Source organism: Homo sapiens, chromosome 2, assembly GCF_000001405.40.
Source record: "Homo sapiens chromosome 2, GRCh38.p14 Primary Assembly".
NCBI classification, from domain to species: domain Eukaryota; kingdom Metazoa; phylum Chordata; class Mammalia; order Primates; family Hominidae; genus Homo; species Homo sapiens.
Window position 1 is genome coordinate 11,109,622 of NC_000002.12, and position 22,827 is coordinate 11,132,448.

Here is a 22,827-nt window from a genome sequence, read left to right on the forward strand (position 1 = left end):
AATACACACACTTAAAAATTAAAATTCAAGACTTTAAAGTTAAAGCACAAGTTAGATCGATAGATGTGAGGAAATAAATTACTAAACTGAACGATCTAGCTAAAGAATGCCCAGGATGAGTCATGGAGAGACAAAGACTTGGAACAAATATGAAAGCAAGTTAAGAGAAACAAAGAGGCCGGGCGCGGTGGCTCACGCCTGTAATCCCTGCACTTTGGAAGGCCAGGACGGGTGGATCACGAGGTCAAGAGATCAAGACCAGCCTGGCCAACATGGTGAAACCCCGTCTCTACTAACAATACAAAAATTTGCTGGGCTTAGTGGTGTGCACCTGTAATCCCAGCTACTTGGGAGGCTGAGGCAGGAGAATCGCTTGAACCCAGGAGGCAGAGGTTGCAGTGAGCTGAGATCACACCACTGCACTCCAGCCTGGCAACAGAGTGAGACTCTGTCTCAAAAAAAAAAAAAAGAGAAACAAAGAAAAGGTGAAGGACCAACATGCATACATCTGATGGTCTGGGAAGGAAACAAACAGAGGAAGTGAAGAAAGGCCCATATGCCAAGGGCTGATCCTCAGACTCAGGAACTCAACCTAAAGCATGATCCCACACCTGAACACACCACAATGAAACTACAATAGACCAAAGACAAAGGCACACACTGAAAATCCACCAGAAAGGGCAGACCGCTTCAGAACACTGCGTAGCAGGCAGACAGCTTGACTTCTCATGGGGGTATCGGAAACCAGAATACAAAGGAATATTGCTTTCAAAGCAGTAAGTCAAAATTATTGTCAAAGTGGGACTGACTGCCTGTCTACTGAAATTATCATTCAGGAATGATGGGAAAATAAAGATATTTACAGGCAAAAAGAAACTAAATGAATTTATTAAGAGATCTTCAATTAAAAAGTTTATTAAGAAAGTGCTTCAAAAAGAAGAAAATTGAACGCAGAAGGAAGGCCTGAGATGAGCAAAGAAAGGGGTAAAAAATATACCAATAAAGTTAAAAAAAAAAAACCACTGACTAGAAAAAACACATAACTAATTTAAGGTGAAATAAAAACAAGGTGAAACTAAAATATTGGTCAAAAATAACATGCAAAATAGGATAACGTGATTCTAGTAAAAGCATTCTAAAATTTTTGTATTTCAGACAAAATGGGAGAAGGATAGAAAAATTGTAGAATTGCAGAAATTAAGTACACACATTTGAATTTTCAAACACCACTAAAAAATTGGCAATTTTCAAAGAGATAAGAAAGAGAAATACAGTTTATAATTTTCAGAATAATAGCAAAAGCCAGGCACAGTGGCTCACGCCTGTAATCCCAGCACTTTGGGAGGTCAAGGCAGGTGGATCACCTGAGGTCAGGAGTTCGAGACCAGCCTGACCAATATGGTGAAACCCATCTCTACTAAAAATACAAAAATTAGCCGGGCATAGTGGCATGTGCTTGTAGTCCCAGGTACTCAGAAAGCTGAGACAGGAGAATTGATTGAGGTGGGAGGTGGAGGTTGCAGTGAGCCAAGATTGCGCCACTGCACTCCAGCCTGGGCAACAGAACGAGACTCCATCTCAAAATAATAATAATAATCACTCCAGCCTGGGCAACAGAACGAGACTCCATCTCAAAATAATAATAATAATAATAATAATAATAATAATAATAATCACTCCAGCCTGGGCAACAGAACAAGACTCCATCTCAAAATAATAATAATAATAATAGCAAGAGGAAATTGAATTTTCAAAAAGCAGAGTAAACAGGAAGTACAACATAAGATTGAGGGAAAATTTAAGGAATCAGTAATTATAATAAATGTAAATGAAAACAATTGCTAGTTAAATGACAGAAATTCTCTGGCTGAATTTTTTTTAGAACAGCCTTATGCTGCTTACAAGAAACACAACTAAAACTAAGGATTCAGATTTAAAATAAACTGATGGGAAAAAATATAGCACACGAATACTTATCAAAAGAAAAGCTATGTAAATATATTAACAGGAAAAACAAAAACAAAAAGTTGTGCTTTATAAGCCAACAAACTTACTGTGTAATGATGGAACAGCAGAAGGTATAACAGTCATGAAGCTGATACATCAAAAAACAGCCTCAACAGGAGAATGGCATGAACCCAGGAGGCGGAGCTTGCAGTGAGCCGAGATCGCGCCACTGCACTCCAGCCTGGGTGACACAGCCAGACTCCCTCTCAAAAAAAAAAAAAAAAAAACAGCCTCAAAATATAGAAAACACACCCTTTCAGGACACTGTTTCTTTGTTCGCAGAAGGAGAATTAGACACACTGAATGAACAGAATCATGAGCACTCAGTGAGATGCCAAATGTGAAAGTGAGTCATTAAATCAGAAAGTGCTACCTAGAGTAGGCGGTCATTATGAAGGAGAAAAATACCCACTGTGTGCTGCAGAGAGCAGGCCTGGCCCGGGGAACAGGCTAAATACAGCAGGGCTCCTAGAAGACAGGCTAGGTAGAGCGATTCTGGCCTAGAACACAGACTAGACAGAGCAGGGCTCCAGGAAGACAAGTTAGATGGAGCAGGGCTCCTGGAAGACAGGCTAGATAGCGCGGGGTTCCTGGAAGACAGGCTAGATGGCGCTCAGCTCCTGGCAGACAGGATAGATGGCGCACGGCTCCTGGCAGACAGGATAGATGGCGCACGGCTCCCGGAAGACGGGATAGAGGGAGAAGGGCTTCTGGACCACTTGAGGTCAAGGGTCCTTTGAATCCTACAGAGTCTCTCCCCACCCCCAAAATGCACACCTGCAGGGAACATACCACCAGTATCAAGGGTTTCACAGACACCCTAAAGGACATCCTTGAAATTCTTCAGTGTTCCTAGGGCTCCTGATATAAACAGTTGAAGGCAAGACATCCAGAAGCCATGTCATGGGAGGAAAGTTGAAAGAGATGAGGCCTCATCTTGGAGAAAAGTTGCCTCCTTAGGGTGCTGAGAGACATCCTCAATTACTTGGAGAGCTATCATGAGTGAGGGGTGTTGTTCTCAGTGGTTCTAAGGGTCAGAGTTGAGGCCACTCAGTGAGGCTCATGGTGGTGTGTCTGTTCCTAAGAAAAGTATTTCCAAAGGGAGAGCACTGGCATGACATGAAGTGATGAAAACGGTGCAGCAAAAGTACAGTGAGGAAGGAAGGAAGGAAGGTGAGGAAGGAAAGAAGGAAGTACGGTGAGGAAGGAAGGAAGTATGGCAAGGAAGGAAGGAAGGAAGGTGAGGAAGGAAAGAAGGAAGTACGGTGAGGAAGGAAGTATGGTGAGGAAGGAAGGAAGGTGAGGAAGGAAAGAAGGAAGTATGGTGAGGAAGGAAGGAAGGAAGGTGAGAAAGGAAGGACGGCGAGGAAGGAAGGACAGTGAGGAAGGAAGGACGGCAAGGAAGGATGGATGGATGGCAAGGAAGGAAGGAAGGAAGTACGGCAAGGATGCTGCAGGAGGGAGCGCTGCTGCTAGGGGAATGCTGGTCCCGACTTCTAGCTCCCTTCCAACTCCCTAGAATGCAAGGATCAACAGCGAAGGATCATGTGTGGGGATATTCTCTCCCTCCTTTCCTTCCTTTCTTCCTTCCTTCCCTCCCTCCCTCCTTCCTTCCCTTCCTCCTTTCTTCCTTCCTTCCCTCCTTTCCTTCCTCCCCTTCTTCCTTCTTTCCTTCCCTTTTTCCTTCCTTCCTTTCTTCCTTCCTCTCCTTCTTCCTTCCTTCCCTTCGCCCTTCCTTTCTTCCTCCTTCCTTTCTTCCTTCCTTCCCTCTCTCCTTCCTTTCTTCCTTCTTTCCCTCCCTCCTTCCTTTCTTCCTTCTTTCCCTCCCTCCTTCCTTTCTTCCTTCTTTCCTTCCTTCCTTCCTCCTTTCCTTCCTTCCTCCCTCCCCTTCTTCCTTCTTCCTTCCCTCCCTCCTTCCTTCCTTCCCTCCCTCCTTCCTTCCCTCCCTCCTTCCTTCCCTCCCTCCTTCCTTCCTTCCCTCCCTCCTTCCTTCCCTCCTTCCTTCCTTCCCTCCTTCCTTCCTTCCCTCCTTCCTTCCTTCCCTCCTTCCTCCTTCCTTCCTTCCTCCCTCTCTTCTTTCCTTCCCTCCTTCCCTCCTTCCTTCCTCCCCACCTTTCTTCCTTCCTTCCTCCTCCCCTTTCTTCTTTCCTTCTTCCTTCCTTCTTCCCTCCCTCCCTCTGTCCTTTCTCCCCTCCTTCCTTCTTCCTTCCTTCCTTTCCCCTTCCTTCCTTCCTTTCCCCTTCCTTCCTTCCTTCCTTTCTTCCACAACTGTTTACAGAGCACCTACCACATGCCAGGAGCCATTCTAGCTGGAGATGCGCCAATGACCTTTTACTCTACTGCAGGAAACAGAGAATGAACAAGATAATTGGAGACTTTTAAATGTTATGAAGAAAACAGAGGAATGAGACCAAGTCTCCCAGAAAGCTAGATGGAGGCCTGGTTATTAGAAAGCCATTAAAAAGAATGGTTTGAGCTGGGACCTGAATGACCAGAGCCACGACAGATCAGAGTTCTGGGGTCCCGCAGGCCCAAAGGTGGGAGAGGGGAGCAGCCTGGAGAGGCTGGAGCATGCTCAAAGGTGGGAGGGGGGAGCAGCCTGGAGAAGCTGGAGCACAGGGAGAGGAAGGCACAATCATGAGGCTATGAGAAAATTTAATTTCCTTTCCCTTGGGATGATCTTGTGTTGGCTTAAATGAGACCCAAGGCTTTTGTCCCACCTGTTTACTTTTGCTTTTATTACCTGTGCTTTTGGGGTCATTTTGAAAAAATCATTGCCAAAACCAATGTCATGAAGTTTTTCTTCTATGTTTTCTTCTAAGAGTTTTACAGTTTCCGGTCTTACATTTAAATCTTCAATAGATTTTGAGTTGATTTTTGTGCATAGTATAAGAAAGGGGTCTAATTCCATTCTTTCTCACGCAAAAAGCTTCTGCATAGCAAAGGAAGTAATAGGGTGAAAACACAGCCTATGGAATCGGAGAAAATATTTGCAAACCATATATCTGATAAGGGATTAATGTCCAAAATATATAAGGAGCTCTTACAACTTAATAGCAGAAAAAATGACTACCCCAATTTAAAAATGAGCAAAGGATTTGAATAGACATTTCTCCCAAGAAGATAGACGAATAGTCAACAGATATATGAAAAGATGCTCGACATCACTAATCATTAGGGAAATGCAAATAAAAATCACCACGAGATGTGTAGCCTTACACCTGCTAGAAGGGCTATTATCAAAAAAATAAATAAAAGATAAGAAGTATTAGCAGGGGTGCAGAGACATTAGAGCCCTGTACACTGTTGGTGGGAATACCATTATGGAGAACAGTATGGAGGCTCCTCAAAAAATCATAAATAGAATTACCATATGACCCAGCAATTCCACTTCTGGATGTTGATTCAAAAGAGTTGAAATCAGTATCTCACAGAGCTATTGCTCTCCCGTGCTCACTGTAGCATTTTTCACCATAGCCAAGTTGTGCAAATGTCCTTCAACAAATGAATGGGGGCCGAGCGCGGTGGCTCACACCTATAATCCCAGCACTTTGGGAGGCTGGGGTGGGCCTGAGGTCAGGAGTTCGAGACCAGCCTGGCCAACATGGCGAAACCCCGTCTCTACTAAGAATACAAAATTAGCCGGGCATGGTGGCACATGCCTGTAATCCCAGCTACTTGGGAGGCTAAGGCAGGAGAATTGATCGAACCTGTGAGGTGGAGGTTGCAGTGAGCCAAGCTCATGCCACTGCACTCCAGCCTGGGCAAGAGAACAAGACCCTATCTCAAAAAACAAACAAAACAACAACAACAACAAAAAAGAATAGTTAGAAAAACTGTGGTGCATACACACAATGGAACATTACTCAGCCTTTCAAAAAAGCAAATCGTGCCATTTGCTACTGACTGAACTTGGCAGACATGATACTAAGTGAAATAAGCCAGTCACAAAAGGACAAATACTGAATGATTCCACTTGCACTAAATACCTAAAGTCAAACTCAGAAAAGCAGAGCACAGAATAGTGGTTGTCAGGGGCTGGAGGAACAGGAAAATGGGGAATCGCTGTTCAATGGATATGAAGTTTCCATTATGCAAGATGAACAAATTCTGGAGATCTGCCGTCTAACATTACGCCTGCAGTTGACAATACTGATTGTACACTCACAAATTTGTTGAAAGGGTAGGACTCATTAAATTTTCTTACAAAATTTTTTTACAAACTTCTGTTTATTATTTTTTAAATTTTTTAAATAATAAATGAGATCCAATGCTTTGATAGCTAAGACCTATATAATTGAGACAGTGAAAATTAGCCATGCTGAGGCCAGGCGCAGTGGCTCACACCTGTAATCCCAGCACTCTGGGAGGCCAAGGTGGGCAGATCACTTGAGGTCAGGAGTTTGAGACCAGCCTGGCCAACGTGGTAAAACCCCGTCTCTACCAAAAATACAAAAATTAACAAGGTGTGGTGGTGCGTGCTTGTAGTCCCAGCTGCTTGGGAGGCTGAGGCAGGAGAATCGCTGGAACCCAGGAGGTAGAGGTTTCAGTGAGCCAACATTGCGCCACTGCACTCCAGCTTGGGCAACAGAGTGAGACGTGAGGCCCTGGCTCAAAAAAAAAAAAAAAAAAGGAAAAAAAGCTAATGAGCCATGCTGCAGGCAAACTGAGATAAACAAGGTTTCCAATGGGACACAGCTGAAGCCAACAGAACAGAGAAACCAAGAAACCCAGGCAGGACCATGCTGTAGCTGCAAGAATGACCAGCGCTCCTCCTTGGACTCGCCCAGCACAAGGCCAGGCCCTGGAAGCCTCAGCAGGTGTGTTCCCCCTTGCTACGGCAAGCCAAGCAGACCCAACGCTGCAGATTACAGGGATGCTCCTGGGGGCTATTTTTTCTGGTGGGCTGCATCATCATCATATTAGCCAGCATTATTCTTACCAGATGCCATTCAGTTTGCAGAGAACTTTGCACACAATTGGAGGTGTTTCACGTTTGCCATAACCCTACGGGGTGACTATTATTATCATTATCTATTGTTATTATCCTTCTTCCGAGGGAGCAGGACTGAAACTTAGTGAGCGAAAGCCATAAAGGAGTGGAGCCCACAAGGAGCAGGTGCTCACTCCATAGCCGCCTGCAGACACTGCCCTCAGCAATGCACTGTCAGTATCCTGAGTGCTGGGAGGGGAAGAGCCAGCTTTCTCTTGTAGGTCTGACTCCTAAGTGCTTGCTCGTAATCATCATAGTTTACCACCTTTCCACTGACACAGGCACTAAGTGAATTTCAGTCCTAATGCAAAATGCAAGAGGCATCCCATTCCAGTACACTTGATCCCAGGAGAACCTGCAAGACTTGTAAATCCAAACATATTTCATTCCAAATAGGCACTAATCCCTCTAACAAGAGCAGGGACTTGTAATTCAAACACATGATTTGAGTTGATAATCCTGGAGCAGACATCATCCTTCAGCTGTGTAACTGCAACATTTTAAGGGGCACCACCAGGGCCAAGCTAGGTTTGTGGGGTCTCCCAAGGACACCTCCTCATTTACAGATTCCCCACCAATCTGTAGAACCAGCATGTTGTAGGAGGCAGCTATTGGCCTTTGCAGTAATCAAAACAAGACTAATATTGGCAATATAATCAGCAGGCACTGGTGACTAATCCATCAGTAAACAAAATATTTTTCCACCCATCTTGGTTTAGCAGCCCCAAAGCTAACCCTTGTATACCCTGTCATTTGCGTCAAATACTACTTCCTCCTCAAAATCACTGTTGGATATTTTCTTTTAACAAGGCTTCCCTGCCTCCCTTGTTTAGAAATGAATAGAAGGATTCCCACTTGGAAAGAGTGAAGAGTGGAAGAAAAACCTGAACCCTAGAATCATTTGTTGTCAAATTGATTCCAAGCTGCATGACTTTCCAGCTTGGAGATCTTTGGCAAGTCACCTAAGTTCTCCAAGACCCTTTCTTCAAACTGGGGTAGAATCGTCTGCACTTCACAGGGTACAAGATAAATGAGACAGTAGCATGAAATCACTTAGCGCAATGTTAATACATAGGTCCCTTCACCTGCCAAGCAGGCTTTGAAGTCAGAGTCTGAGCTCTGTGCAGCCTCACCACCCACTAGACATGAGAACGCAGATAGCTCTCCGTCCTCCCAGAGCCTCAGCTGCTCTGAAAACCAAGGATGGGATGCCCCTGAGTCCTTTCCTCCTTCCCCAGCTCCCGACCCTGGTCCTCAGAGGTGACAGCGTTCACTGTGGCCCTTGGCATCTGCTCCTCATGTGTCAAGGAATAGGGCCCAGGCACCTCCCCAGGAAATTGCAGAGGCTGCACCAGCCCAGACCTGGTAGGACCATGGGCACACTGGCTGTATCCGTCCGTTGTTTTTTGTTTGTTTGTTTTTGAGATGGAGTTTCACTCTTGTTGCCCAGGCCACAGGGCAGTGGCGTGATCTCAGCTCACTGCAACCTCTGCCTTCTGGGTTCAAGTGATTCTCCTGCCTCAGTCTTCCAAGTAACTGGGATTACAGGTGTCCGCCACCATGCCCAGCTAATTGTTTGTATTTTTAGTAGAGACAGGGTTTCACCATGTTGGCCAGGCTGGTCTCGAACTCCTGACCTCAGGTGATCCACCTGCCTCGGCCTCCCAAAGTGCTGGGATTACAGGCATGAGCCACCGTGCCCGGCCTATTGGTCCATTTTCACGCTGCTGATAAAGACATAGCCGAGACTGGGAAGAAAAAGAGGTTAATTGGACTTACAGTTCCACATGGCTGGGGAGGCCTCAGGATCATGGCAGAAGGTGAAAGGCGCTGCTTACATGTCGGCGGCAAGAGGAAATGAGAAAGAAGCAAAAGTGGAAACCCCTGATAAGCCCATTAGATCTCATGAGACTTATTCACTATCACAAGAATAGCACGGGAAAGACTGGCCCCCATGATTCAATTACCTCCCCCTAGGTCCCTCCCACAACACGTGGGAATTCTGGGAGACACAATTCAAGTTGAGATTTGGGTGGGGACACAGCCAAACCATATCAGTGGCCAAGAGCTCAGGAGGTTGGGTGTGGACTGAGTCCGAGGGTGACTTCCCACCCCACCATCTGACCTCTCTGAACTTCAGTTTCTTCATCTGCAAAAGAGAAACAATAGCACTTATTTGTCTGTATTAGTCAAGGTTCTCCAGAGAAACAGAACTAATAGGACAGAGAGAGAGAGATTTATTCTGAGGAGTTGTTCATGCAATTATGGAGGCTAAGTCCCAAGATGGGCAGTCAGCAAGCTAGAAACCCAGGAAAGCCGACAGCTCTGGTCTGAGTCAGAGCCTACGGATCTCCAAACACTAAGTGCCAGTCTGAAAGCCAGCAGGCAAGAGGCCCAAGAAGAATTGATGTTTTCCTCTCAGTCCAAAGGCAGGAAAAGAACAGTGTCCCAGCTCCAGCAGTCAGGCAGGAAGAGCCCTTTCGTGCCAGATTTTTTGTTCTATCTGGGTCTTCAAAAGAGACCCACATAGACTTCAACTGACTGGATGCAGCCCACGCCCATCAGAGAGGGCCACCTGCCTCGCTCGGCCCACCCATTCAAATGCAGACCTCACTTAGCAATGCCCTCAGAGACACATTACACAGTTGGTAACGCTCCACCAAATATGGCACCCTTGGCCCAGTCAAGGTGATCCATAAAATTAACCATCGTACCATGTCATTTCGTTGTTGTCAGGGGTCAATGAAATAAAGCATTCGAGTGGTTAAAGAGGTACTCAAGATGTGTACCTATTACCACCGACATCATTATAACAGCAGGACACGGGTACATCAGATTCCCAACATTGCTAAAGCCACGGTGTGATGATTGGGATGAGCTAAAGTATTATAATTGTCTTCTCCATGAGCTGTAAGAAGAACAAACAGTGGCCAGGCATGGTGGCTTACACCTGTAATCCCAGCACTTTGGGAGGCTGAGGGTGGGAAGATCACTTGCACCCAGGAGTTTGAGAATAGCCTGGGGAACAAAGGGAGGCCTCATCCCTACAAAAATCAAAAAGAGTAACTGGGCATGGTGGTGCACACCTATAATCCCAGCTACTCGGGAGGCTGAGGTGGGAGGATCACTTGATCCCAGAGGTTGAGGCTGCAGTGAGCCATGTTCACACCACTGCACTCCAGCCTGGGTGACAAAGCTTGAGGCCCTGTCTCAAAAAAAAAGGAAAAGAAAAGAGGCTGGGCGTAGTGGCTCATGCCTGTAATCCCAACATTTGGGAGGCCAAGGCGGCAGGATCATTTGAGGTCAGGAGTTCAAGACCAGCCTGACCAACATGGTGAAACCCTGTCTCTACTAAAAATACAAAAATTAGCCAGGCGTGGTGGCACTTGCCTATAATCCCAGCTACTCAGAAGGCTGAGGCAGGAGAATCACTTGAACCTGGGAGGCAGAGGTTGCAGTGAGCCAAGATGGTGCCATTGCACTCCAGCCTGGGCAACAGAGCGAAACTCCATCTCAAAAAAAAAAAGAACAACAAAGTGGTGAAAGGGCATGGGTCCCTGGTCAGGTCAACACCATCACCTCCCCCAGGAAGCCCTGCCCACCCAACCACACCCTTTGTCTGCCCACTGACTTCCCAGAGCTCTTGCCTGCCCAGTCCTGGGGCAGAGCGTCCCTGAGTCCTAGTTTAATTGTCCACACATCCGTACCCCGTCCACCTCTAATCTAACCTGCTGCCAGACAGTGTCCATATGTCAAGCTGTGTGTGCCCTGGTGCCACCCAGCACACCCACGTCCCCACTCATCCATGCAAGCTCCTCCCAACTGTCAAGATGAAAGTGTCACTTGTCAAAAGTGCACCAGGTGCCAGCCTCTGAGCAGGTGCTTCATTGCCTCTGTTATTTCATTTAACTATCATGCATCATGACAAATAAATGATTTGAAGAGTCTCTTAGGGAGGGTGCTATTGAAGAAAACATGCTCTGCTGCCCAGGTGACAGGAAGTGAGGGCCTGAGAGTAGGTTTAGAGGACCCGAGACAGACAAGCTGTCTCAAGAGAAATGGACAGGAACTAGGGGTTGAGGGAGCAGAGACAGGACCAACCCTACAGCAAAGGAAGGCGGGAGGCGCAGGCCCGTCCTACCTTCCCAGGATTTAGCTGAATCCCAGGACTCTGGAGGAAGGGTGCAGGAGTCTTGAGGTGATGCCTTCCCCAGAGTCTGGTCACCTGGGAAGGTGGATGCCGGAAGAGCTTCAGGGTCGAGCCCAGGATCTGCATTTTAACACACTTCCCACATCGTGTTTGGGAACCACCGCTCCACCTCTCATGAGGAGGAAACAGGCCTGTGAAAGGAAAGAGACTTGGAATGAAGGAACCCCAGAGCTGAAGGGCCTCCGAGCTCACCCAGCCCCAGCTCACTCTCAAACAAGACGTATTTGTAGCAGCAGTTTCTGCTCAGTCCCTTCTGTGACAGCAATGTCACTACCTCCCAGAAGTGCGTCTCAGAAACAACTCACTTCGCAGTAGCAGACGAACTCACTCCTGGGCTTTGCCATTCTTTAAAGACTAACAGCCTTAGAAGAAATCATTGCAGAGCTGGCCACAGGCCACCTGGGAGCTAGGCAGAATCTGTCTTTGGCCCCAGCCTCTCTGTGATCTTTTCTGTTGCCATGGAGGGATTTCCCAGGACCCATGAGTCAGAGCCCTGAGTTCAAATGCCAGCTCTGCTGTGTGACCCTGGCAGGTTACTCACCTTCTCTGAGCCTCCCTTTTCCAACAGGTATAATGGAAATATGACCTACCTTATGGGCTGGTGTGATGGGGAAATGGCTTAACAAACAAATGAGATGCCTGCAACCCCCAAAAGTCCCTTCCTGTCCCCTTTCACCATATCTCCTCCCCTTCCTCAGTCTCAGGGGCCTGTAGCACCCCTTCCCCCGGCCTTGATTGCTCTCGGGGGACCACTGTGTGGGTTGCTTTCACCATGTGGACAGTAATCCTCTGAGTGGCTCCCTCCCCAGGCACTTCCGCATTCCTGATCTGCCTTTTCCCTGAGCTTCCGAAGACTTTCTCCCCGGGAAGAAGCACAGCTGAACTGAGAATGAACAACCTCAAGGGGGGTGAGCACAGCACTTCACAGTTTGCAGAGCCTCTGGCCCCACCCTCTCATCTGTCCTCTCTCAGCACAGGGGCAGGTCAGGGTGATGAAGCAGGAGCGGGGACAGAGGTCTGCAGAAGCCAGTCCCACAGATCTGGGGACGCTCACCTGGCCAGGCACCCACTTCCCACCCTGACCCCAACCAACCTCCACCTCCCACCACACTAAGGAGCCCCGCTGCTCCTTTAGGACCCTGGGTTATCGCTCCTCTTTAGGGGACAGCCTTCCGCCTTGGTGGGTGGGGCAGAGACTGAGGCTCCAGGCATCAGCCTCACCCCTGACAGAAGGGGCGCCCTCAGCCCTGGGCTCTCTCCACCCTCCCTCTAAGACCCTCAAGGTGTACAGAGCTATATATGTTACAGGAAAGGGGTCCCGATCCACAACCCAAGAGAGGGTTCTTGGATCTCACCCCAGAAAGAATTCAGGGTGAGTCTGTAAAGTGAAAGCAAGTTTATTAAGAAAGTAAAGGAATAAAGAATGGCTACTCCATAGGCAGAGCAGCCCCGAGGGCTGCTGGCTGCACATTTTTATGGTTATTTCTTGATGATCTGCTAAACAAGGGGTGGATTATTCATGCCTGCCCTTTTTAGACCATATAGGCTAACTTCCTGACATTGCTGTGGCATTTGTAAACTGTCATGGCCCTGGTGGGAGTGTAGCAGCGAGGACGACCGGAGGTCACTCTCATGGCTGTCTTGGTTTTTGTGGGTTTTGACCAGCTTCTTTACTGCAACCTGTTTCATCAGCAAGGTCGTTATGACCTGTGTCGTCTTGTCCCATGACTTAGAATGCCTTAACTGTCCAGGAATGCAGCCCGGTAGGTCTCAGCCTCATTTTACCCAGCTCCTACGCAAGATGGAGTTGCTCTGGTTTACATGCCTCTGACATGAGCATGTGTGCCCACCTCGATCAAATCCATCAGGGGCACCTGCACCACTTAGCCCTGCCAGCCATTGGCCTGCTCCTACGGTGGGTCCCCTCCAGAAGTCCCCCAGAGCTCTTCCTCTCTTCACCTGCTTCCCGCCCACACATGCCCTGTGCTCCAGCCACAGGCACCCTGTCCAGATCCCTCCCCCATCTCCATACCTTCGCCCATGCTGTTCCCCCACCTGGCATGCTGGCACCCTCCTCCCCACCCCCACCCCAATCCAGCCACCTGCAAACTCCTCCAAGTTCCAGCTCAAGCCTTTATCCCCTTGGAAGCTTCCCAGAGAGGCTCAGACAGAAAAGACACAGCCAACTTACTATTCAGTGAGCCTCTCTCCCTGTCAGGGATACGAGGAAGGCCTGTCACTGAGACCCTACGATCCTGCCCAGCAGGGCTGCCACTCTCCAGCCCACTGTGGCACTCATATTGAGGACAGGGTCACATACCTGGTAATTATAACTTCAAGTCTATTTAACCATATGCCAGGCACTGTGCCAGGAGCCTTGCGTGGATCAACTCATCCAATCCTCACCCTCAGCCTAGAACTCGGAGGGCACAGAAGAGGCACAGCCACAAGGCTGCTGCTGCAAAGGACGACACAGGCAAATGCAGGTTGGAATAGGTGAAAGGGTCTCTCAAGGAAATGAGCTGGAGTCGGGCCTGGAAGAGCAGCAGAACATGCTCCTGGCCCTGCCACACACCTGGGTCCCAGAGCTACATGGAGCTGGCTGCCACCCCTGTCTGCAACCCTGGCCATCCCCGCAGGACGCCTGACAACTTCCTTACCCTGGCCTGCTGGCTAGAAACACCCGCCAGGCAGATGGCCTTTCTGACTGGCCTTCTCCTGGCTACTGCAGCCTCACCGGAGGGCCAGGGCCAGGGCCAGGGCCAGGCCAGGGGTGGCTCCTGCCTCAGCAGGACAGGGCAGCTCCAAAGGTGGGCTCTGCACCAGGGTCTCCCCTGAGCCAGGCAGGGGCTCCCCACGGGAGACAGTGCCAACCGCACAGGCCAGGGGTGCAAATTGAGGCTGGGGAAGGAGAGGCTGATCTCCTGGTGATCAGGGGGGCAGCACCAGCCTCAGCCATGCAGGTGTGAATTCCTCCCCACAGCCTGAGATCAGTGCCTCACCCCCGCCCTCTCTCCCCAGGCTCCCCGCTGGATTGCCCCTGCCTGACACCCCATGCTGGCAACCAGAGGCTGATTCTGCCCGACTGCCTCCAGCTCCTCGAGTGTTCAGCCTGGGTTCCAGAGGGAGGCCATACAGCCCCGTCAGAGACCACCAGGGAAGTATCACAGACCGCAGCCAGCGGGTGAGCTCAGCTGGGAGTTTGCACCAAGCCTGGCTCCGGAGTGTGGCCTGACTGACGCAGGCTGGGACCACCCTACATGGGCCGGCAGGTGTGGGTACGTCCTGGGGCTCAGAGAGGGGCTTGGAAGGCCAAAGGCAAGGCGGCCGGACCCGTTATCGCAGCACATAGCATCCCCTTGACTTGCTGGGAGAAGCTTGCGCCCTCATAGTTAGCAATTCCATGGCCACTGGAGGCCAGAGTGGGAGCTGGGAGGCTCTGGACACCATAGCTTTGGGCCCCCCGGCCCTCTCGGGCTGGTGTTCACCTGTAAATGCTGCTTCCGCTGTTCAAGCGCTGATGCTCCTCGTCGCTCACGGGTGAACAGCTGCTGCCCACCTCCAAGACCCCCCGCACCCTGCACGGCAGGTGACCTCTTGCGTCCCTTCTGGGCCCTCCCTGTGGATTTAGAATGTCGCACCTGCCTGCCGAGGCTCACAGCTGGGTTCCTTTCACAGACACCGTATCCGGACAATCCATTTGTTCTGTCTTTAATCAGAAATGGCCATAGCGAACTACCGTGCGTCCAACCTGAGACACCTGGGGATGGTGGAGCCAGGGGAGATGCCGCGGGCCTGAAGGAGGATGCGAAGCTCCAGGGTGCCCCCTGCTGCCTCCGGAGCGTGCTGCAGTCATGGCCGACGTGGACCTGGCAACCTGCTCCGATCTTCAGAAATATTATCCACGAGACCTGCTTTCTCCCATAATGCATTCGGCTGGCCACCCATGGGAAGCTACAGAATAAAGAACATAAAGACATGCTCCAGAATATGTTCCCAATGCTTAAAATTCCCCCAACTCCCAGGAATCTAGAGTCTTTGAAATATAGATCATTGAGTATCTTTTTGATAACCGAAGTAAAACTGTTTATGTGAGATGCTTTTTCTCTGCAAATAACAACTGAAGAAGAGGCCAGAAACTATAGTCAGAAGGGATTCTGGTCCTGGGGGTCCATTTCTTGCCTGTGCGGTCTAGGTGGGTTGTGGTCTTCCAGTTTCTGCCCCTAAATCCACATGTGATCGGCTCCACTTCACAAGGCCGTCACAACACTTCACAAGAGAAATGCAAGAAAGCACACTTTTCAAGCAGTGTACACAGTTGCTGTTTTTAATGCCATTATCCATCAGGGAATTTCTCACTTGTCTCCCAGAGGCTCGAGTGGATTGAAAATATAAGGTCTATTTAATGAAAATTATCAAGGAAGTTCCTGGGGAAAAATCCTTAGGCGTAGTCAAGTATTAGTCAAACCACAGCTCTGCAGTTCCAATAAAGCACAGACTTTAGAAGTTGTATGAGTGAATTCCATGCAAGGCCTGCCACTTATTGCCTGGGTCCCTGGACAAGACACTCAGCCTCTTGAAGACTTTGTTTTCTCATCCATAAAATGGAGCTAATACTGTTCACCGAATGAGGTGAGGTGAGGACTGGAAATAATGCCTGACGTACAGTGGGGGCTGAATACAAGGTTGGTTCTTTTTTTTAAGATGGAGTCTCGCTCTGTCACTCAGGCTGGAGTGCACTGGCATGATCTCAGCTCACTTCAACCTCCACCTCGAGGTTTCAAGTGATTCTCCTGCCTCAGCCTCCCAAGTAGATGGGATCACAGGCTCGTGCCTACCCACACCCAGCTAATTTTTGTATTTTTAGTAGAGATGTGGTTTTGCCATGTTGGCCAGGCTGGTCTCAAACTCCCGACCTCAGGTGATCTACCCACCTCAGCCTCCCAAAGGGCTGGCAGGAATTACAGGTGCGAGCCACTGTGCCTGGCCATACAAGGTCGGTTTTATCCCTTAATAGATCCCAGAAGGAATTCAAATCTGTATAATCTGTGATTGGTTGAATTGTGCTTCTCAAAATTTGCATTGAAGTGCTAATCCCCAGCACCCCAGAATGTGACCTTATTTGGAACCAGGGTCATTGCCGATGTGATGAGTTCGGATGAGGTCATACTGGAGTAGGGTGGGCTGAGATCCAGTATGAATGTGCCCTCATAAAACAGGAGAAATTTAGACAGAGACACACAAAGAAACAACACCATGTGAAGATGAAGGCAGAGATTAGGGTGATGCTTCTGCACACCAAGGAACATGGAAGATTGCCAGGAAGGTCCCAAAAGTGGGGTAAGGGGCCTGGCACAGATTCTCCCTCACTGTCTCAGAAGGAATGAACCCCACCGACCCCTCTTCTCAGACCTCTGACCTCCAGCACTGTGACACGCTCCATTTCTCTTGTTTAGCCACCCAGTTCATGGCATTGTGTTAGGGCAGCTCTGGCAAACTAATACATAATCCAAGAGAGACTGTCATAGATTTACTATCTTTACTGTTGAATAATCCTTACCAATGGGCCCAGGCCGGGCATGGTGGCTCACGCCTGTAATCCCAGTACTTTGGGTGGCCAAGCAGGGTGGATCGCTTGAGCCCAGGAGTTTGAGACCAACCTGGGTAACATAGCGAGAGTCCATTGCTACAGAAGAATAAACAAAATTAGCTGGGTGCGGTGGTACACACCTGTGGTCCCAGTTACTCAGGGCACTGAGGTGGGAAGATCACGGGGCGCAGGAGGCTGCAGTCAGTCGTGATGGTGCCACTGCACTCCAGCCTGGACGATAGAGGGAGAGCCTGTCTCAAAAAAAAAAAAAAAGCCCAGGAAGGTAGGGTCAGAGCCTAGACAAGAACCCAGTTCTCTGGATTCTCAATTCTGTGCTCTCTGCACTACCCCTGACAATCATATCTTAGGCGTTAACATGATTGACCAGGTGCAGTGGCTCACACCTATAATCCTAGCACTCTGGGAAGTCAAGGTGGGCAGATTGCTTGAGCCCAAGAGTTTGAGATCAGCCTGGGCAACACAGTGAGACCCTGTCTCTACAAGAAAACACAAAAACTACCCAGGCATGGTGGCGCATGCCTGTAGTCCCAGCTACTTGGGAGGCTGAGGTGGGAGGATTGCTGAACCCTGGAGTTGGAGGCTGCAGGGAGCCAAGATCATGCCACTGCATTCCGGTCTACTCCCTAAAGATATGCAGTAGACACGGGAGGAAGCACGTCCGTTCAGACTTTTCTCATGCATTCAACTCATATTATAATAACAACACCAGAATCAGACTGCATATACCACTTTGCAACACGTTTTGTTATTGTTGTTTTATCATGTTTGTTTTGCTTAACATTATATAGATGACATCTTTACAAGTAATAAGTATAGTAAAGATACCACAAGTAACATAACCAGTCTTCTATTGATGGAATTTTTTTTTTTTTTTTTTGAGACGGAGTCTTGCTCTTTTGCCCAGGCTGGAGTGCAGTGGCACGATCTCAGCTCACTGTAACCTCCACCTCCAGAGTTCAAGCAATTCTCCTGCCTCAGCCTCCCGAGTAGCTGGGACTACAGGCATGCACCACCATGCCCGGCTAATTTTTTGTACTTTTAATAGAGATGGGGTTTCACCATGTTGGCCAGGTTGGTCTCGAACTCCTGACCTCAGATAATCCACCCGCCTCGGCCTCCCAAAGTGCTGGGATCACAGGCGTGAGCCACTGCACCTGACCCTTGATGGACATTTAGATTGTTTCCTTTTTTTTTTTAACTAACACAAATAACACTGCAGAAAATAGCCTCAAGTAACTTTGCACATTTGTATGTTTTTTTGCAGAATAAATGCCTAAACATGGCAAATCTAATATGTTTGTGATGGTTTTAAATAACCTCTATAAATTATTTGATCCTCCTCCCATCAAAAGTGGAGTTTAATTCTCCTCCCTTTGAATATGGGCCAGTATTCATACTTGTTTCTAATAAACAATGTGGTAGAAGTGGCACAGGGTGGCTTCTGTGGTTAGGATAGAAAAGGTGACACTGCTTCCACCTGGTTCCCTCTTTGTCAGTTCCTCATCCTTGAAACACAGCCACTTCACACTGGAGAGAAGCCCAAGCCACATGGAGGGGCCGCAGCTGGCCGCCAGACCCACCTGAGGTCACAGCCGACAGCTGGCATCAACCTCCAGCCTTGAGAGTGAATGAACCTTCGGATGGCCAGGTCCCATCTCATTATTTTATATCGAAATGATTTACTCTCAAAAGAAAAATGAAAGAAATACAAATTATAGCAATGTTATCTTTAGCAAGGACTGCTTGCAAGGTTGGCCCTTGGTTCGTATCTGGGAAATTGGATTTGGGGAGGGTTCCCGCCCTTCCCTGATATGAATGGCTCACTGCCCCTAAACTGTGTAAACACTGTGGTTTATGTCTTCGTACTGGGAGTCCAGAATTTTGGTACATGCTAGGCAGAGGGGGCCTTTGTGACTAGCCTGCAGTAAAACCCTCGGTGCCAAATCTCTAGTGAGTGTCCCTGACAAATGACATTCCACACGTGTTGTCCCAACACACTTCTGGGGGAAGTGGGCGCGTCCAGCATGTGAGAGGGTCTTGGACCCTCACACTCCATTTCCTCTGGACTTGACCCATGTGCCTTTTTCCTTTGCTGAATTTGCTTCATTTCCAGTTGTCGTAATACATCATAGCCTCGAGTATCACTGTATGCTGAGTTCTGCGAGTTCTCCTAGCCAATCAACAAACCCAGGGTGGTCTTAGAGACCCCAACACGCCACAGCAACAAGACAACAGGGAAGCCGGCGCTTCCTGTATGTGTATACATTGCTGGTGGTACCTGGGCACTGTGAGAGCAACACAGCCTGTCTGTTGAGAGCCACTCAATGTCCACTTCCTCTGACTCAGTAATCCCATCTGGGAATGTGTCCTTTGGCAACAATTCCACAGCAGGAAGCAGAGGCTTGAAGATATTCATCACAGCTTGTGCTAAACCTGAACAAAACCTAAATGCCCAAGAAGAGAAAAAATTGGTTAAACACATTATCATGCATCAACTCTAAGAAACTGGCTACAATGAGATGTGTAAAGATTATAAAGCACCTGTGGTCCCAGCTACTCAGGAGGCTGAGATGGATCTCCTGAGCCCAGGGAGGTGGAGGCTGCAATGAGCTACGATCATGCCACTGTACTCCAGCCTGGGCGACAAAGTAAGACCCTGTGTCAAAAAATATATATATATATAAAGAGAAACATGAAAAAATATTGCTGATACATTAAAAAAAAAAATTTGGCCAGGCATGGTGGCTCACGCCTGTAATCCCAGCACTTTGGGAGGCCAAGGCAGGCAGATCACTTGAGTCAGGAGTTCAGGACAAGCCTGGCCAACATGGCGAAACCCAGTCTCTATTAAAAATACAAATATTAGTCGAGCACGGTGGCACACCTCTATAATCCCAGCTACTCAGGAGGCTGAGACAGGAGAATCGCTTGAACCCGGGAGGCGGAGGTTGTAATGAACAGAGATCGCCCCGCTGCACTCCAGCCTGGGTGATAGAACGAGACTCTGCCTCTAAATAAATAAATAAATAAATAAACAATTTTAAGCTGGGTACAAAATGGTAGGCACATTGACAGCAACTGTACAACCAACAAGTAAGACCCAAAGCGGCTACTTAGAAGTGAAAACGGTTGGGGCTACAAGAGGAAGGCCGGAGCGGATTTTTCCATAGATAAATTGGGCCTTCCTTTAATGTTGCTGTTCTGACGAACCCGGAGCTTTCTGGGGACGTGGTGGGAGCAGCTGACAAGGCAAGAACTGTGGCTCTGGGTGCTTCCTCTGCGGTCACCGCCTGGTAGGATGCCTTCAAGGTGTGCGCGTGCGGGAAGGAGAGAGAGGGTGGTAAAGCCAACGTTTTCATCCAAAAAGCAGAGGCTTACGGGACAAAGGGGACGGAAAATATCCCCTGCAAATTAAAAAATGCAGACACACATTTCCCCTGCCTTCGCCTCCCACGGACCCGCCCCTTCAGCTCCTTCCCTCGCGCTCCCAAGCTCCGGGGCCCCTGAGCCCTGCGCCGGCGGAACGGGGCGGAGCTCGCGACCCTCCCTCGTCCGCCGACCCGGGAAGGGGCGGGGGCCTACAGGAAGTGGGCGGGGCTGGCTCGCAGGGCGGAGCCTCGCCTCGCTCTGTGCATCGCAGGTGTGCTTGCTCCCGGGCTGGTGGGGCCACCCTGTGGCTGCCTGGGCTGGAACGTTCTGCCTCGCCCAGCTGAAGGCCCTAAACTTGCTACGCCTTTTGGGGTGAGGAAAACCCAATAAAAGACAACTCCAGCAACCTCCCAAACGCAGGGATTCTTGTGCTCCCCTGGAAAGTCTCAGATAAAGTTAGACCACAAAATGTGGGTGTGCCCTGAGCCCTCGCTCAAGGGCACAGAGCAAGTCACTGGCAGAGCAGGGACTGGAACCCGGTGTCCTGATCCCCAGGTGAGGCCAGCCTCAGAGCTGGCGGGAGGGGCAGGGCGGGGTTGGTCCTCCCAGGCTGGGGCGCAGTGAGGCTCACCCAGAGTGAATTTGGATGTTTTTCCAGGCAGAAGGACATGTAAAAAGAGACTGGCAGTGACTGACCTGGACTGGCAGGTGAGTTTTTTTTTCCCCCTCAACATTTTATTTTGAAATTTTTCGGACATACAGAAAAGTTGAAAGAATGGTAGGGCAGACACCCAACATATGCCCACCCATACGCCCACCACCTAGATTCTGCAGTTACGTTGTATTGTATTTGCTTTGTCACACATCAGTCCAGCCCTCTATCAACTCTCGGTCTGAAATGGTTTTTAAATTACATTTTAATTTTTAAAAACCAACCTCCAGCCGGGCGCGGTGGCTCACACCTGTGATCCCAGCGCTTTAGGAAGCTAAGGCAGGTGGATCAACTGAGGTCAGGAGTTCGAGATCAGCCTGGCCAACATGGTGAAACCCTGTCTCTACTAAAAATACAAAAGAAATTAGCTGGGTGTGGCGGTGCACACCTGTATTCCCAGCTACTCGGGAAGCTGAGGCAGGAGAATCGCTTGAACCTGGGAGGCAGAGGTTGCAGTGAGCCAAGATCATACCACTGCACTCCAGCCCCAGCAACAGAGTGAGACTCCGTCTCAAAAAAAAAAAAAAAAAAATCCGTTGAACTATTCAGCCTCTACATACATCAGGAACTCAATCAGTTGTGATGGTTTGTCACAGATGCCCTTGCTGGCCTTTTTTGCCCTGGTCCCTGTGTCTGGAGCCTGTGGCCAGGGCTGGAGGTATCTGAGCAAACTGCATGGCTGTTCCCAGCTGCTCAGGGCCACAGCCTGCGGTCAGCCTGACAAAGCCTCCCAGGACACACAGCAAGGACCCCCCAGGACACACCGTCCTCTCTAAAGACACTCACGGGATGCCTTCTGGGGGTTCAGGGAAGCCAGAACCGCTGCTCCTTGGGCATGGCAGGAACCTGTCGTCGCAGTGCAGGGAGCACAGACACCTCCACGAAAACAGCACTCAGAAAAGCCTGACCCAGGGTCCTAGCTCACAGAGGCCCACCCCGCCGCACTCCTGCTGTGCTCATCTTTACCAGGAAAATTTAAGTCACTAGATGCCACCCTGTGTCATCCCAGCTCCAAGGGGAGGAACAGAGGAGAGACAGAGTCCCAGGCCTGCAGCTCTGATTTTAGACTAATGTTTTTCCAAAAGGTCCCATCCCTCAGCTCCGTCCTCATGCAAGTGTGGGAAGACGAAGCTGGCAGCTCTTTCTGGCCTGGCTCTCAGCCCTGTCTTCTCCACGCCAGCCCTCCGCCCGAGCCCAGTAGGGGCTTCGTTGCCACTGCTCACCCACACCACGCCATGGCAATGGTGACCTCACCTGTTTTTTGCCCCTGTCCTGATGGTTCTGTTCCCTGCAGCTCCCTTGGGGCTCACAGCCCATCGGTATCTCCCCACTGGGTGCAGGATACCGTGGAAAATACCCCGGGGCCTGCCCCCATGTGCCCTGCCACCCCCGTCCTTGTCTCCTCCCCCACATCTCCCAAAATACCAGGCTCTCTCTTGCATCCAAGCTTTTGTGGTCACCCCAGTTTTTCTACCTGGCAAGTCCTTTCACCTGTGAAGTCCCAACTCCTTGCTGCCTCCCTCATAGAAGCAGAATCCAGCAGGGGCACACAGGACTGGCTACAGTGCGAGCTCAGTGGTTCACTGGCTGCCCTGCTGCCCTGCACCCCGGGCACTCTGCGCAGGCCTCTATTCGTCAGGGCTTTGTCTGCACTTAGCTCTTCCCTTACAAAGATAGGAAGCAGCGCGCCAGCTGAATGGACCCACAGAGAAGCTGCGTGGAAGGAACTGTGAATCTGCCAGCACCTACCGGAACAGCACAAAACTCAGAGAACCGGAAGCAGAGAGTGCAGGAGGCAGAAGTGATGAGAGCAGCGGGCGTCCATGGAGCTCAGCTGAGCCAGACCAGGAGAGGCTGCCACGGAGGGAGCCTGGTTGTACCCAGTTAGAGCAGAAACAGGGCTGAGGGCTCGGACCATAAGCCCT

General features: G+C 49.6%; 1 long non-coding RNA gene across 1 annotated transcript in view, besides 3 other annotated features; it reads right to left on the reverse strand.

Moving 5' to 3' along the window:
• Positions 1-22,555, reverse strand: part of FLJ33534 (Putative uncharacterized protein) — a 32,326-nt gene extending 9,771 nt beyond the window's left edge. The window contains exons 1-6 of the long non-coding RNA NR_040080.1: positions 22,394-22,555; positions 19,363-19,477; positions 19,100-19,265; positions 14,962-15,164; positions 13,531-13,668; positions 11,142-11,341 (exon numbers count right to left, since the gene is read on the reverse strand). This is a non-coding gene — a long non-coding RNA (Putative uncharacterized protein FLJ33534). The remainder of the gene's footprint in view (positions 1-11,141; positions 11,342-13,530; positions 13,669-14,961; positions 15,165-19,099; positions 19,266-19,362; positions 19,478-22,393) is intronic.
• Positions 20,161-20,661: an enhancer, noted in NCBI's record as "H3K4me1 hESC enhancer chr2:11269908-11270408 (GRCh37/hg19 assembly coordinates)". NCBI's record gives its function as "activates a minimal SCP1, AML or CMV promoter by ChIP-STARR-seq in naive H9 embryonic stem cells {active_cell/tissue: H9 hESC(naive)}" and the evidence as "EXISTENCE:reporter gene assay evidence [ECO:0000049][PMID:30033119]".
• Positions 20,211-20,520: a silencer, noted in NCBI's record as "silent region_11169". NCBI's record gives its function as "represses an Ori minimal core promoter by ATAC-STARR-seq in GM12878 lymphoblastoid cells {active_cell/tissue: GM12878}" and the evidence as "EXISTENCE:reporter gene assay evidence [ECO:0000049][PMID:35858748]".
• Positions 20,662-21,162: an enhancer, noted in NCBI's record as "H3K4me1 hESC enhancer chr2:11270409-11270909 (GRCh37/hg19 assembly coordinates)". NCBI's record gives its function as "activates a minimal SCP1, AML or CMV promoter by ChIP-STARR-seq in naive H9 embryonic stem cells {active_cell/tissue: H9 hESC(naive)}" and the evidence as "EXISTENCE:reporter gene assay evidence [ECO:0000049][PMID:30033119]".
• Positions 22,556-22,827: the final 272 nt, after the last annotated feature.